Below are 16,730 nucleotides of genomic sequence, written 5' to 3' on the forward strand. Positions count from 1 at the left end.
GGTTGCTCATGCTTGTAGTCCCAGCTACATGGGAGGCTGAGGCAGAAGAATTGCTTGAACCTGGGAGGCAGAGGTTGCGCTGAGCCGAGATCGCACCACTGCACTCCAGCCTGGGTGACAGAGCGAGACTTTGTCTCAAAAAAAAAAAAATTTTAAGAAAGTTTGCAGGTGTGATGAGGGAGCCAATTTTTATAATCTTTGAAGAGTATGGAGTAAAATTATAGAAGACTAGAAATAGTTTCTCCTTTACAAAAAAAGCTGAATTTCAGAAATGATAAAACTGTGCCATTAATTTTGGCAAAACACTAAAGTGTATTTCTAAACAGTTAGTCATGAAAGTAGTCTTCACCAGGAGCTAGCATTTGTCTGTTAGGGTTACTAGAGTAGCCTGAACAGGAACATACTAAAAATAATGTATTCTGATTTTAGGGAGAGATTTGATAGCTGGGTAATTGCAAAAATGTGGTTGCAATGATAAGACAGGCATAATTGTAGTTTGTAACTACCTTACACAAATTCATTAATGGCAAATTAGTCTAGATGGAATCCCTAGATTCAGGATGTAGAGTAGTGGTTTGCAGTCCTGGTCAACTGTTAAACAAGGAAACTTTTACAACACATCAATATCTGCCTCCACACTCAGAAATTTAGATTTTTTTTGTCTGGTATGGAGTCCAGCCATTTGAATATTTCAAAAATTCTCTAGTGTTCTAACATACAAAGTTTTAATCACTATTTTCTTAATGTTCTATTCTTGGCCATGGACTTTACAATATATTTTTAAGGAACATATTGAATGAAGACAGAAAAACTCCTTGTGTTGTGTTTGTAGATGAGTCAAAACTAGAAAATGATGACATTAAGCCTGAAATGAGCAAACAAATGAAAACCTTCAACAAGACAGAAAAATGAGCAAAGACACTCACAAAGTAAAATGTCTTGTTACAGAGGTATTTTGCTAATGAAATGAGTCAACACGTAGAAAGAACTTAGAGCAGAATTAGGTACATGCACACTCAATACATTTATCACACCAAATCCTGCTCACCGTAGGTCAGCATTCTCTCCATATTAGAGAAATGAAGGTACAAAGAATGTGCCCTTCTAGCCTAAGATCATGCAGTAAGTTGCAAACCTGGGCTTCAAACCCAGTCCTGACTCCAGTGTCCAAGTTCTTATTTACTATTCTGAGTGTTAGTGTGAACTTTGATTTTAGGACTGAAAGGGATGTTAGAATTTACCTCAGACATTTTAGAGAGAAAAACTGAGGTTTGGAAAGGTGAGTCATTTGCCCAAATGCACAAAGATAGAGAATGGTAGAGGAAGAAGAACGAGGAGGAGGAGGAGGAGGAGGGGGAGGAAAAAGGAAAGGAAAGCAAAGGAAGGGAAGGGAAGGGAAGGGAAAGGAAGGAAAAGAGGACAAAAGGAAGGAAAGAAGCCAGGTCCTGTGTTTAGGGACCTTTCCAAATCAAAGGAAATCTGGGAAGGTTCTAACTTATTTCACGGAAAAGGAGTGCATCAGGAGGGAAATCCACAAGAAAGCTTTGAGAAATGCTCTCAAAGAGGTTCTGACTCTCACAGGTAGTGCTAGACGTTTCTCAGTAATCCTGAGATCAGTCTATTTCTCTCCCTCACAGCCCCATGCCTGGACTAAGCCTGTTTTGTCTTGTCTTGTCTTGTCTTGTCTTGTCTTGTCTTGTCTTGTCTTGTTTTGTTTTGTTTTGTTTTAGAGGCAGGGTCTCACTCTGTCACCCAGACTGGAGTGCAGTGGTGCCGTCAGGGTTCACTGCAGTCTCTACCTCCCAGGCTTAAGTGATCCTCCAACCTCAGCCTCCGGAGTAGCTGGGACTACAGGCACACACCACCATGCCTGGCAAATTTTGTTTTGTTTTGTTTTGTTTTGTTTTTGTAGGGATGGGGTCTCACTGTGTTTTTCAGGCTGATCTCAAACCCTTGGCTTCAAATGATCCTCCTGACTCAGCCTGCCAAAACACTGGTATTACAGGTGTGAGCCACCATGCCTGGCCTAAAGGTTTAATTAAAGAGGTGAACTCCCATGTCAAGGAGAGTGTTAAAAGGTAAGAATTGAAGTTTGTTTTCTCTGGCTTAGGGAAATCCTGACCCAGAGATGTGGAGAAGGATATTGAAGATGTTTTATACCAAATTATAAAATCTTGGATTAGGAGATTTCAGAAGACTTCCTAACATGTACTGTGGCTGCTCTTGCCACATGAAAAAAACCCATGGTCCTGTAGAGTATGCTCCAGTGATTTCTGGGAATCCCCAGGTGGAATCCCACATGTACTCATGAACCAGCTTTATTGGCTACTATGTTGCTTCTACCCCGTTTTTTCTTTTTTCTTAAACTCATTCTGTGTAACGAAGCTGCCTCACTCAGTAGTGAGAATGAAGATTAAATGAGATAGCACATAGGCACTCAATAAATCAAAATTTGTTGCAATAATGCCATTAATAATGAAGAAAAATAACTCCGCTAGTCGCTTCTGCTATTTTAAACTAGATGTCCACTGGAGTCAAGAGAGACTAGAATAAACTACTAAGGAATATTTGAAGGGAAAGATAATCCTTTTCTGTCAAAGACAGTGATTCAGGCTTCAAAGGCAGGAGGATGACCCAGTCTGGACACAATAACAATTCCAGGCACAAGTTGCTATGTGTTGCAGGCAGGATCTCCTAAATGGAGTCCTGGTGGACACCTGTCCTAAAAGCACCCAGAGCTCACACTGCTCCAGCCTGCACCTCTCACCTCCAGCCACCTTGGAGAATGAAGATAAAGACAGTGATCACTCCAGAGTGCATGCTGAGGCTCAGGGCCTGTGCTACATGCTGCAAGTATGTGACCTCACTGAGTCCTCACAGCAACTTATAAAGCCAATGCCCTTTACAGAAGGAGAATATATAAATTCATAAGAGTTAAATACCTTGCCCAAGGAAGTGTCTATTTTCTGACTGTAAGACACATCCTTAACCCCTCTGTATATGTCAGGAGTTTCCGGTAAATGTTCTCTACCTAGACCTGCAAGAAGGACTCCTTCTCTGCTCATCTGCTTAGACCCTAAAACCATCCCCACATCCTGGCCTCCTATGAGTCTAGCCTGGCTGCTTTGCATCCTCCCCTCATGGGAGTATTTGTGAAGAATGGATTTAGCTTCTTGGCTCTGCAGCTTTGCTTCTGAGCCAGACAGAGGACTCACATGACTCCAAGTGTCAGGTCCCCAGGGACACCAGTGCGAACACCAGCTGCAGCTGTGACTCCTTTTGCACACACTGTTTTTGGAGGAGCTCTTACCACACTCTGAGGGACTGAGCACACTATTCACTTTCTGAAGGGTACTGAAGGAACATCTGGGGTCATCCTGCCTTGGTCAATATCCCTACATCTCTGCAGTAAAAGGCAAGCTCTTCTCACCCTTCCAAGCACGGAAATGCCTGCTGTCAGGGAGAAAACTTCCAGCAAAAGCTGGTGCTTTTGGACAGTACCAGATCTCCCTATCCCAGCTGATTTTCATAATTTCCTAGTCCTGAAATCGAGGCAGCATTTGCCAATGTCTATGCTTCTTGCTGGCAAGAAGATACAGTCTCAGCAGAATCTGCATGCAGCACTTTGGGGAAGAAAACTTGAGTGTTTTCAACATCTATCCTGCAGGCTTGATGTCCAGGTTTCCATGTAGGTCCTTGAAAGTCATGTCTAATAGAGTTGTGTACTACGTGTGCCTCAAGCTCCAAAATCCTTTGTCAGCAGCTCGAAATGACATCTGCTACTTGCTTAAAACCTCATGTCCTTCTTGAAAGTATTAGCCCCACTCTCACATTAGTTTAAGATCCTCATCAGAGAATTTTCTAAAGAGCCTGTATTAAGGATTTCACGGGAAGATATCCTTGATCTTCCTCTGTAATGCATCTCAATTCCTTATAACCTAACCCAAATACAACAAACCAAAATAATTTTGAGATCAGACAGACTGAAGCTGAAATTACCCAAAATGCCACTGGTCAGGTTTCCTGGAAACAGACTCATAGAGGGAGATTTTTGCCAGATGTTTCTTGGAGAGTGCTCTCGGGAACATCTATAAGGGACCAAGGGAAACAGGACTGGGCAGAGAGAGTTGAATAGAATGAAACAGAGGTTTAAGCTGATCCCATGGGGGAGTTCTGAATCTGGGTTGGCCTTTTAGAGATGTCTCAGATTAACCTCTCTGACCTTCGTATCTCTGCACAGACCAGCTTCCAGGGAGAGGTTGTGTGTAACCTTGGATAAGGCAGTTACCTTTGGTAAAGAGAGCCATTTTCAAAGAGGAATTTACTTATGGGCCATCAGCAGGCAATGTTTGCAACCACTGGGGGCACTGAATGCCTTTGTTTTAAAGGTGGGATTTAGGTGGCACACCACAGCATCCACTGCACAAGGAAACTCTCTTACTCTCTAGGAAACAGAGGCCTAGAGAAGAAAAGCGGGTGGCCCAGGGTCACACAGCAAGGTGATGGAATAAAAAAACAGTATGGACTGCTATGGAAACCGGGAGCATTAAAACAAAAAAGACAAAAACAAAACAAAAAACACTAGAATTGCAATGAGGACCATAAACCTCAAAATGTTTTCCCTCTAATATCAATATACCTATTTTTTTGCTAAGCATATCCTATTGTGCCAGCCAGTGTGTTAAGTATGTTACATTAATTAATATATTAACTAATCAGAGGGAACCCCATAAAGTAGGTATTATCACCCTTATTCTGTAATGAGGAAACAATTTAGTAGCCTAGCAAAGTGTCTAGCACATATTAAACATCCGTCTGTCTCCAATGCCTGTGCTTACAACCCACACCTTCCTCTCTACAATTCACCTAGGAGCCTTCTCTCTACCATTGTAAATTATGCTATCGCCCCAATCATCAACAGTTTAAGAGAGGAACAAGTCACCATTCTCTGCCCAGCAATCCCTCACTGCCATGAGAACTGCTATTTTTGTCACCATTTGTGATTCCTTACTAGTCCACCACCATTCTTATGCTGGCTTCATAAAATGAATTTCTAGTTTATCCGGCCAAAGGCCCATGGATCACAACGCTGTGACTAAACATTCTTTCAAGCATACAGCAAATATTTATTGGGTGCACGCTATGTGCTGGCGTCCTGCTAAGCACTTTGCATTCATTCTCTCGTACCACCCTATGAGGCAAATATTTTGATTCCTACTTTATAGATGAGAAAAACAGAGGTTTAGATAGTGCAATCACTGACCCAAGATCACGTAGCCTGGATTTAAATGCAGATCTGTTTTGCTTTGACAAAGCTGGGTTCATTCATTCTCTGTTATTAAGCAAACATTTATTAAGTTCCTACGCACAACCCAGTACTGTGCAGAACTGCACTGGAGATAGAGCTCCACTCAGGACATATGCTCTCATTCCTTGCCTTTGTGGCAGTTGCATTCTAGAGGAAGAGTCACAAATACAAAGGCCTCCAGGGGCTTTGAGTTAAGTGGATGGGTGGGGAGTGCAAGGAGGGGACAGCTGTTCTCTGCCTTCTTAAGGCAGTGACTACTCAACTCCAACCAAATGTTGGTATGTGAGAATATGGGCCCAGAATTGCCAGCTTTTCCATTCTTCAAGAGGAGCCAGAAATCTATATTTTATGCAAAATGCCTTGATGTCTTAAAATTGTGGACTAAGCCAACTATTCTGTTAGCATGAATGTGTGTTAAACAAAAGGCATATGTGGGCCAGATTAAGCCCTGGGGGACACCACGAATGCCATCTTATTCTGAGACTCCTAGAAAGTCAGCCCACTTAAATCCAGGTTAATCTCATGTCGAAATGTCAAGTGCACCCTACATGTTCCCTGAATCTGGGGACTTTGCCTATGGTACAGGAAGCTTTAAGTCATGACTCAAAGTTTTCTTGCTAGAGAAACCCTACAGTTTATTTCTCTTATTCCTTGAAATTCCATTCTTCCCTGAGTCTAGGCTATTAGCTGACCTGCTTCTGTCAGGAAATAGCTGGATTGTGGGTGTCTACAAACAGTAAGAGAAGGCTACGTGACCACCGCTCACAGCCTCCTTCCCCCTTCTTGTTCCTGCTGCCACCAGATGGTTCTGAGATAATGCCACGTCTTTCCTGCAAGAAACAACATTTCCGAGCCATTCTGCTGATCCCTTCTGGCTGTCTTGGGAATGCAATTTCTGGGCCTCTCCCCTCCTGTCATTGCTTCCCCTGTCTTATCTTCAGAGGGGTAGGGGACCTGAGCTGGTCCCTTTCCAAAGAGAGTCAATCATCCACCATGCTGGAAGTACAGGGGCTCACGTAGATGGTGTAAACGTGCAAACTCGAGTTCTGGCTCGCCCATGTATGCTTACAGTATGTTTGGGACCACCCAATCATTTCCAAACTTATGTGTGATACCAATCTCACTCCTTATCTCTGCTGTGAAGATTCATATTCTCTAATCAAACAAGTGGAGTTCTTAGTCTCCCAAAAATCCTGTGGGAGACAAAACAAGATGATCTTTGCCCACAAACCTGGCATCCAGCCAAGCTTTGATCTCTGATTCCAGCCCCTCCCTCAGTCCTCAACATGATTCTCCCATGATGTTAAACAACATCTCTTCATACCTCTGTTGATGACACAAGAGTCAAAGAGTGGGGATCTAATCAGTAGTTACTACCTGCTCCTGGATATTAATTGGTAGGAAGGAGAATTTGGCCCCTGAGATGAGATCAGTATTAGCTGTCAGAAAAAGCTGGCATCATTAATCTGTTTCAGTGTGAACCTGAGGGCTGACATGCAAAGATCTGGGGCTGGCCGGATGCAGTGGCTCATGCCTGTAATCCCAGTACTTTGGGAGGCCGAGGTGGGTGGATCACCTGAAGTCAGGAGTTCAAGACCAGCCCGGCCAATATGGTGAAATCCCGTCTCTACTAAAAATACAAAAATCAGCCAGGTTTGGTGGCATGTGCCTGTAATTCCAGCTACTCGAGAGCCAAAGCAGGAGACTCGCTTGAACCCAAGAGGCAGAGGTTGCAGTGAGCCAAGATTGTGCCACTGCACTCCAGCCTGGGCAACAGAGGAAGACTCCATCGCAAAAAAATAAAAAAAATTAAAAAAAAAGGGAATAAAAAAAAAGGGAAGAAAAAAAAATACCTGGGGTTTCTAACCCAGGGAATATGGAAGATATTCTGAATACATTGCTTGACATTGGCAGACATTGGCTCTTACATTTTACATTTGAGATTTCAGTTATTTTCAAGCTAACTTCTAAAGGCCATGTCAAGCCACCATTTTCAAATTTTGCTGAGGCACAAATTTGGATTGCACAATGAGAAGCAGGTAGTTTGACAAATGAATGAGCCCAGCTAATTGCCTGATACCTACCTTTCTATGGTATTTTGTCTCCACTTAATACAGGATTTCCTTTAATCTTCACAAAGAGCCTGTTGGGGAGGTATTATTACTCTCATTTTACAGATTCATGAATAGATCATGGGCTATGGGCTATGGTAATCTACATAAAAATGAGAATTGAAGAAAATCTCAAATAGTATCTCATTTGCACGTCAAGAGTCTACTGGACTAATTTTTTTCTTCTCTATTTGGAACAATCTAGTTGAAAAAAATACATCACTGCAATGATCTGGAAAGAATCTTTCAACTATACCTCAAGCATCAACTGAGGCCTTCTAGACTATGAGATGTATGAGATGTAATTAGAGTTACCACAGCCTCCAATTCCACCACCTAGATGAGCCTGAATCCCAGACTTGTTTGCCAATTCTCTGAGCTTTACAATCATAAGGGAGTTCCCTTGTCTACAAGCCCTATCTTGATTTCTTTGGTGAGGTCTATTAAAAGCCCAACAAATGTTTTAGGGTTCTGTAGACTTTGCAGACATTTTATTTGCTTGTTTGTTTGGGGAAATGGTGGTTAAAGAAGAGTTTCATGGAGAAGCACACAGCTTGCCATCATTTATCTCACTCTTCATCCCTCTTTTCCCCCTTTCTTTTTCTCTGGCCCTTTCCCAGCCCTCAGGAACAGCAATTTAGTAATGCAATCCCCTGGTCCCTTTCTCTGAAGAGTCACCAACCAACTCCCAGGCCTTGAGGGCCTTAGATTTCCCTCAAGTGAGACTATCAAGGCATTTTCCTATGAAAATATTCTATGTATGTTGCTGTAAGAATAATATTCTCTCCCTTTGGTGATAACAACTATGAGAACTATCTCAACCATGGAAGAGGCTGCCCCAGGAAGTAAGGAGATTGATTCCTCTAGGCCAAAGACCTAGAAAACCGTTTATAGGGACATTGGAGAAAGATTTATATTGATGATTATGCCAAAGTACCTGCAAGATCCTTCAACCCAGAGATCCCCCAGTGCAAGATTTCTGAGGACTCCCAGATTTTGACAGCAGACAGACCTGGATTTGCATCAGTGTTCCATGTCTTGCTGATTGTCAGATTACAGGATGGTATATACCCCATCTAAGACACATTTCCCACATCTGTAAAGTGCACATGATAAATGATAAATGGCAAAGTGTTCCTTAGTTATTTAACACAATGTCCTGCTACATAGCAATAGCAACATAACAGAGGGCTTCTAGTATTATCTTTATTTTACTGTCATTGTTTTGTTGGTAGGTTGTCTACCTCAGAGAAGCAGCAGGACTTAATTTTAAACAGGTATTCAATTAGAATCAAAGAAATAAACTCTAGCACCACTTCTGCTGCATAATATCTGAGCAATGTTAAACACATCACTTAACTGATCTAAACCTCGGTTTCCTCACTTGAAACTATGGGGTAATAACACTCTTTTTTTGATTACCTCAGTTGTGTTACATGAGAAAATTAATGTAACTGTACTTTAAAAATTATAATTACCTTAAAAATTAGTTAAAATGGGAAGATTTACCAAGCAAGTGGAAAGCAAAAAAAAAAGCAGGGGTTGCAATCCTAGTCTCTAATAAAACAGACATTAGGCCAGACGTGGTGGCTCATGCCTGTAATCCCAGCACTTAGGGAGGCTGAGGCGGGCAGATCACAAGGTCAGGAGATTGACACTATCTTACCTAACATGGTGAAACCCCATCTCTACTAAAAATACAAAAAATTAGCAGGGTGCAGTGGCACGCGTCTGTAGTCCCAGCTACTCAGGAGGCTGAGGCAGGAGAATCGCTTGAACCCAGGAGGTGGAGGTTGCAGTGAGCCGAGATTGCGCCACTGCACTCAAGCCTGGGCAACAGAGCGATACTCCATCTAAGAACAAACAAACAAAGAACAGACTTTAAACCAACAAAGATCAACAAAGACAAAGAAGGGCATTACATAATGGTAAAGGGATCAATGCAACAAGAAGAGTTAACTATCTTAAATATACATGTACCCATACAGGAGCACCCAGATTCATAAAGCAAGTTCTTAGAGACCTACAAAGAGACTTAGACTTCCACACAATAATAGTGGGAGACTTTAACACCCCACTATCAACATTGCACAGATCAATGAGTCAGAAAATTAACAAGGATATTCAGGACTTGAACTCAGCGCTGGACCAAGTAGACCTAATAGACATCTACAGAACTGTCCACCAAAAATGAACAGAATATACATTCTTCTCAGCACCACATAGCATTTATTCTAAAATCGACCACATAATTGGAAGTAAAACACTCCTCAGCAAATGCAAAAGAACAGAAATCATAACAAACACTCTCTCAGGCCACAGTTCAATCAAATTAGAACTCAGAATTAAGAAACTCACTCAAAACTGCACAACCACATGGAAACTGAGCAAACTGCTCCTGAATGACCACTGGGTTAGTAATGAAATTAAGGCAGAAATAAATAAGTTATTTGAAACCAATGAGAACAAAGACACAACATACCAGAACCTCTGGGACACAGATAAAGCAGTGTTTAGAGGGAAATTTATAGCACTAAATGCCCACAGGAGAAAGCAGGAAAGATCTAAAATTGACACCCTAACATCACAATTAAAAGAACTAGAGAAGCAAGAGCAAACAAACTCAAAAGCTCACAGAAAACAAGAAATAACTAAGATCAGAGCAGAACTGAAAGAGATAGAGACACGAAAAACCCTTCAAAAAATCAATGAATCCAGCAGCTGGTTTTTTGAAAAGGTTAATAAAATAGAACACTAGCCAGACTAATAAAGAAGAAAAGAGAGAAGAATCAAATAGACACAATAAAAAACGATAAAGGGGAGATCACCACTGATCCCACAGAAATACAAACTACCATCAGAGAATACTGTAAACACCTCTACACAAATAAACTAGAAAATCTAGAAGAAATTGATACATTCCTGGACATACACCCTCCAAAGACTAAACCAGGAAGAAGTCGAATCCCTGAATAGACCAAAAACAAGTTCTGAAATTGAGGCAGTAATTAATAGCTTACCAACCAATAAAAGCCCAGGACCGGATGGATTCACAGCTGAATTCTACCAGGGGCTCAAAGAGGAGCTGGTACAATTTCTTCTGAAACTATCCCAAACAATATAAAAAGAGGGACTCCTCCCTAACTCATTTGATGAGGCCAGCATCATCATGATACCAAAACATGGCAGAGACACAACACAAAAAGAAAATTTCAGGTCAATATCCCTGATGAACATCAATGCGAAAATCCTCAATGCAATACTGGTAAATTGAATCCAACAGCACATTAAAAAGCTTATCCACCATGTTCAAGTCTGCTTCATCCCTGGGATGGAAGGCTGGTTCAACATACACAAATCAATACACGTAATCCATCACATAAGCAGAACCAATGACAAAAACCACATTATTATTTCAATAGATGCAGAAAAGGCCTTCAATAAAATTCAACACCCCTTCTTGCAATAAAACACTCAAAAAACTAGGTATTGATGGAACATATCTCAAAATAACAAAAGCTATTTATGACAAACCACAGCCAATATCATACTGAATGGGCAAAAGCTGAAAGCATTCCTTTTGAAAATTGGCACAAGAGAAGGATGCCCTCTCTCACCACTCCTATTCAACATGGTGTTAGAAGTTCTGGCCAGGGCAATCAGGTAAGAGAAAGAAATAAAGGTATTCAAATAGGAAGGTAGGAAGTCAAATTATCTCTGTTTGCAGATGACATGAGTGTATATTTACAAAACCCCATCATCTCAGCCCAAAAACTCCTTAAGCTGATAAGCAACTTCAACAAAGTCTCAGGATATGAAATCAATGTGCAGAAATCACAGGCATTCCTATACATCAATAATAGACAAAGAGAGAGCAAAATCATGAGCAAACTCCCATTCACAATTGGTACAAAGAGAATAAAATACCTAGGAATACAACTTACAAGGGATGTGAAGGACCTCTTCAAGGAGAACTACAAACCACTTCTCAAAGAAATAAGAGAGGACACAAACAAATGGAAAAACGTTCCATGCTCATGGATAAGAAGAGTCAATATCGTGAAAATGGCCATACTGACCAAAGTAATTTATAGATTCAATGCTATCCCCATCAAGCTACCATTGACTTTCTTCACAGAATTAGAAAAAACTACTTTAAATTTCATATGAAACCAAAAAAGAGCCCATATAGCCAAGGTAATCCCAAGCAAAAAGAACAAAGCTGAAGGCATCACGCTACCTGACTTCAAACTATACTACAAGGCTACAGTAACCAAAACAGCACGGTACTGGTACCAAAAAAAGATACATAGACCAATGGAACAGAACAGAGGCCTCAGAAAAAACAGCACACATCTACAACCATCTGATCTTTGACAAACCTGACAAAAACAAGCAATGGGGAAAGGATTTCCTATTTAATAAATGGTGTTGGGAAAACTGGCTAGCCATGTGCAGAAAACTGAAATTGGACCCCTTCCTTACACCTTATACAAAAATTAACTCAAGATGGATTAAAGATTGAAACATAAGACCTAACACCATAAAAACCCTAGAAGAAAACCTAGGCAATACCATTCAGGACATAGGCATGGGCAAAGACTTCATGACTAAAACACCAAAAGCAATTGCAACAAAAACCAAAATAGACAGATGAGATCTAATTAAACTAAAGAGATTCTGCACAGCAAAATAAACTATCATCAGAGTGAACAGGCAACCTACAGAATGGGAGAAAATCTTTGCAATCTACCCATCTGACAAAGGGCTGATATCCAGAATCTACAAAGAACTTAAACAAATTTATGAGAAAAAAAAAACCACATCAAAAAGTGGGCAAAGGATATGAACAGACACTTCTCAAAAGAAGACATTTATGCAGCCAACAGACATATGAAAAAATGCTCATCATCACTGGTCCTTAGAGAAATGCAAATCAAAACCACAATGAGATAGCATCTCACACCAGTTAGAATGGCTATCATTAAAAAGTCAGGAAACAACACATGCTGGAGAGGATGTGGTGAAATAGGAATGCTTTTACACTGTTGGGGGGAGTGTAAATTAGTTTAACCATTGTGGAAGGCAGTGTGGAGATTCCTCAAGGATCTAGAACTAGAAATACATTTGAGCCAGCAATCCCATTACTGGGTATATACCCAAAGGATTATAAATCATTCTACTATAAAGACACATGCACACGTATGTTTATTGCAACACTATTCACAATAGCAAAGACTTGGAACCAACCCAAATGCCCATCAATGATCAATGTTAGACTGGATAAAGAAAATGTGGCATATATACACCATGGAATACTATGCAGCCATAAAAAAGAAATGAGTTCATGTTCTTTGCAGGGACATGGATGAAGCTGGAAACCATCATTCTCAGCAAACTATCACAAGGACAGATAACCAAACACCATATGTTCTCACTCATAAGTGGGAGTTGAACAATGAGAACACATGGGCACAGGGACAGGAACATCACACATTGGGGGCCTGTTGGGGGTGGGGGCGAGGGGAGGGATAGCATTAGGAGAAATACCTAATGTAGATGATGGATTGATGGGTGCAGCAAACCACCATGGCACATGTATACCTATGTAACAAAACTGCAAGTTCTGCACATGTATCCCAGAAGTTAAAAGTATAATAAAAAAAGATGAGTCAAAATGATGGAGTTGCCACATCTACCTTATGTGCACATCTCACAGCTTCTGTTTCTGGGTCCTATTCTTCCTGGTGTTTTTGTGTTGTCCTCCTCTTGTCTGGGATCCACTGAAGCTCACCAGCTTGTTCATGGTCCTGAGCTGTAACCCCAAATATGCTCCACTTAATCCCTCCTTCCCTGGCCAAAAGCTCAAAAGTGGCCCCTACTAAGAATTTGCTCATGACTTTGTAAGCTAGCACTGTTTGAGAACATAAGCATATTTTCAACAGGGGCCTTCTAGAGAATTGTCCCATAAGCCAACAGGAAGATAAAGATAGTAGAATTATTTTAAAGGGGATAGACCTCATGTTGCCTATGCAGAAAGAGTCTGCTTTATCTGAAGCTAGGCCAGACTCACTCTGTGTCATGTCCCATTGCTTCTTCTATCCCAAGCCTCTATGGATCAGTTGTGAGATCCACAGACACTCATATCCTGTAGCAGCTTTCATTCCATACCAAACTATGTCTCCTGTACAACCAGAAGCAGAGGCATAGATCAGATGACCTCTGGACTTCCCTGCCAATTCTTGGAATGAAGTATCAAAGGGATTCCAGGCAAAGTGATTACAACCCTTGGTCATTTCTTCAACAACAAACATTTACTAAACTCCTACATTAAACCAGGCATTATGCCAGAATCTGAGCACTCAAAGCTGAATAAGATGCAACATAGCCCTGAACTGGGTGCTAACCTCCTCCCATGAAACTCAAAGTACCATAAATTCCTATTTGAAAAGAAAACCAAAAATTCTTCCCAGGCATTTTCTCATTTGATCATAAGCCACTCTGTAATCTAATAACTGATATCCCCATTTAATATAGGAGGTAACGGGGGCTCTGAGGGATTTGTTTAATGTAAAAGAGACATTAACTAGTAGAGTTGGAATTTGAGGAGGGCAGGCACTTCAAGGGAAAGGCAAGCCCATTGTTTTTGGTCTGTGCTGTCTGTCCTTGGGATTCTGAGCCTGTTAAAAGCATTAGTGTGAACCAGACAGAGGTGTACATATATGATTAACTCACCCTAGTACTTCTGGTGTTTCAGATAACCCCTCCTCCAACCCCCTTGCTCTCTCTGCAACCTGCCACTTAAGCCAGGGTAAGTCAAATGCAAAGACAAGGGTGGATTTGCACCCTCTAGGAAGGCAGCATGGACCTTGAAGGGTATGCTGTCTCTGCTTACACCATTATCTTTCTCTTCATCAGAAGGGCCTTGATTAAATAGCAAGCACATTTCAGAATTGGAATGAGAAGGTAATACATAAAACCACAAGCCTAGTTTTAGAACAGTCTCAAAGCTCCTAGGCTTTTTGCCTAGAGAAAATAATTTGGTCAGAGGGCTTTTAGCTCCTCGTTTGGGTGTGGGGGGACTATAGTGATCTGTGTTTTCCATGACAACCACATTTTTTCTATAAATAGATCTGCCCCAAGCAGGGTGCAAGCTTGTAATTAGTTCTTAATACATTTTCACAAATGACTGATCAATGACTGGAAATACATATCCCTTCTCCAGTACACAACTTACTTGTTTCCAACAGTGACAGATTTCATAGGGTTTCTTTTGCATTACCGGGAAATTTACTCTAGTGTTTATGGAAGCTGTCAGGAGTGTATCTAAATATTCAACTCTATCTAAAAAGATTCTGTAATTAGTATCTCTCCAGGCCAAAACAGCTTGAGTCTCAATAACTCAGTAACAAAGCATTATTTCTCTGGCTCTTTTCCTGCCAGCTGTTGCAATAATGAGAGCCCACCCCAACCCTTCTTTTGCTTGTTCTGGGAATCCTCGGGGAGTGGCCAATGTCATATAGGCCCTTGAACAGAGTTCCTGGACACCGAGTTTTCCCTGTTCCTCTTCAGAATTGCAGTGGTGATGTCTTCTGTCACTGCCGATACCAAAGGCTTCATGATATAAGCACAATTCTGGAACATGGTGACCTCTCCATTCCAGATGTGAACTTACTCTGGCTCAGGCAGTATCGTTCATGAGGACGTGCCTTTGGAGGCCCATCCCACCTGTTCTTCATATGTGCTCGAAAGGGTCTGTGTCCCATGACGAGTACAACTTAGACTGCCAAGCTGGGACCCCTGCTGCAAGCCAAAGTGAGCAAGTGTCTGCACTGGCTTTGTATCAGGAGTTGAACTATCCTAGATTTGAACCAGAAGCTGATGATAAGTGTGCTGACAACACTTGAGTCTCTTTTATTCCTGATGTAAGTAGTTAAGCTAATTCTACTTTTGTTCTCAGAATGACCGGAGGAAGGAGAACCAAGCTCATTTACTCTTTACTTTGGAAAAAGGAAACAGCAGAAACTTGGGGCACAGTCTCTTAATGGAAAGTCACCTTAGAACATAATTTCTCAACAAGAAGTTGAGTCACATATCCAACAAGTGCAACAGGTGGGTTTATAATGGCGATGGAAAAGATAATTTGGAATGAAGATTCTTTCAGATGCTGCATTTGTTTGTTATTTATTTCTGTGTCACTCCATATAGGAGTTAATGCCACTGCCAGAAATACTTAAAGATCTCAAAGAAATATAAAAAAGAAGCCCATATAAGTAAAAAAGATAAACATGATTGGGGCATAAGATAGAATTGAAATGAAGCTCATGTAAAAATGCCATTCAAGCAGCCCTAAGCTTCCCAGCATTGACACACACACACACACACACACACACACACAAGTCTGATAGAAGTTATGGGATTCCTAGATTTCTTAGGATTTGTTTTAAGTTTCTCAAGAAAAGATAGCTATTCCTGATACCAAATAGAAATAAATTTCTCCCAAGAAGACTTATAAAGTGTGTTTCATGAGTAATTCCAGAAAATGTGGTCAACAAAAACCAAGGAAAGCGTTCAGTGGGCAGAGAGGGTGATGTTAAGAATGCAAATAGCAGTGCATGAGCACAGAAGATGAGAAGAGGCCCAGCCGAGAACTGTGGAGGCTCTTGTCCTCTTCTTCCCCTTCCCCATACAGGCCTCTCTTTTGCATGGTTTTTGCCCCATCTAGCATCGTCCTTCCAGTTCTTTTTTCCTTAATGGCTCTGTCCTTTTCAACCTCTCTCTCTGTACCGAAGTAAAGTTGTTTCCTCTTCCTGTCCTGAAGTTCAGAAAGAACAAAGTACATGCCCAAGGTCATACAGCTGAGTAGTGTAGTTTACATGTCTTAAGGTTTTGAGTCAGACCTGTGTCAAACCAATCTCTATCCTTAAAGATTTACTCAATATTTAGCAAATATTTATAGAATTCAAACTGGGGTGATCCCATCTAGTCTTAAGACTTGAAACATGATCTGTATACTCATGTCACCCAAGTGTATACTTCTGGTCCTGACCTCTTTCCTGAAATTCCAACTCCTACATCCAATGCCTCTGAGCATGTTCACTCAGATGTCTGGTAAGCAACTCCAAGTGTCCAGATCCAAAGTACCATGAGTCTGGACTTTTCCTCCAAAGCTTTTCCTGCCCATGTCTTTTGCATCTCGAGAAATGATATCTCCATTTACCCAGATGCTTAAGTCAGTTTTCTTACCCTTCCCTCTTCAAATACATTAGGAAACCTATCTGCTCCAACCCAAGTTCAGCCACTTCTTGCCA

The 16,730-nt window shown here is 41.2% G+C and overlaps 4 annotated features.

The window, feature by feature from the left end:
- Window positions 1,164–2,363: an enhancer, noted in NCBI's record as "MED14-independent group 3 enhancer chr1:66866019-66867218 (GRCh37/hg19 assembly coordinates)". NCBI's record gives its function as "activates an origin of replication core promoter dependent on BRD2, BRD4, P300/CBP and CDK7 cofactors, and independent of MED14, by STARR-seq in HCT116 cells {active_cell/tissue: HCT116}" and the evidence as "EXISTENCE:reporter gene assay evidence [ECO:0000049][PMID:35650434]".
- Window positions 1,855–1,934: an enhancer, noted in NCBI's record as "active region_1161". NCBI's record gives its function as "activates an Ori minimal core promoter by ATAC-STARR-seq in GM12878 lymphoblastoid cells {active_cell/tissue: GM12878}" and the evidence as "EXISTENCE:reporter gene assay evidence [ECO:0000049][PMID:35858748]".
- Window positions 2,025–2,074: an enhancer, noted in NCBI's record as "active region_1162". NCBI's record gives its function as "activates an Ori minimal core promoter by ATAC-STARR-seq in GM12878 lymphoblastoid cells {active_cell/tissue: GM12878}" and the evidence as "EXISTENCE:reporter gene assay evidence [ECO:0000049][PMID:35858748]".
- Window positions 2,205–2,334: an enhancer, noted in NCBI's record as "active region_1163". NCBI's record gives its function as "activates an Ori minimal core promoter by ATAC-STARR-seq in GM12878 lymphoblastoid cells {active_cell/tissue: GM12878}" and the evidence as "EXISTENCE:reporter gene assay evidence [ECO:0000049][PMID:35858748]".

This window comes from Homo sapiens, chromosome 1, assembly GCF_000001405.40.
Source record: "Homo sapiens chromosome 1, GRCh38.p14 Primary Assembly".
Taxonomy (NCBI): domain Eukaryota; kingdom Metazoa; phylum Chordata; class Mammalia; order Primates; family Hominidae; genus Homo; species Homo sapiens.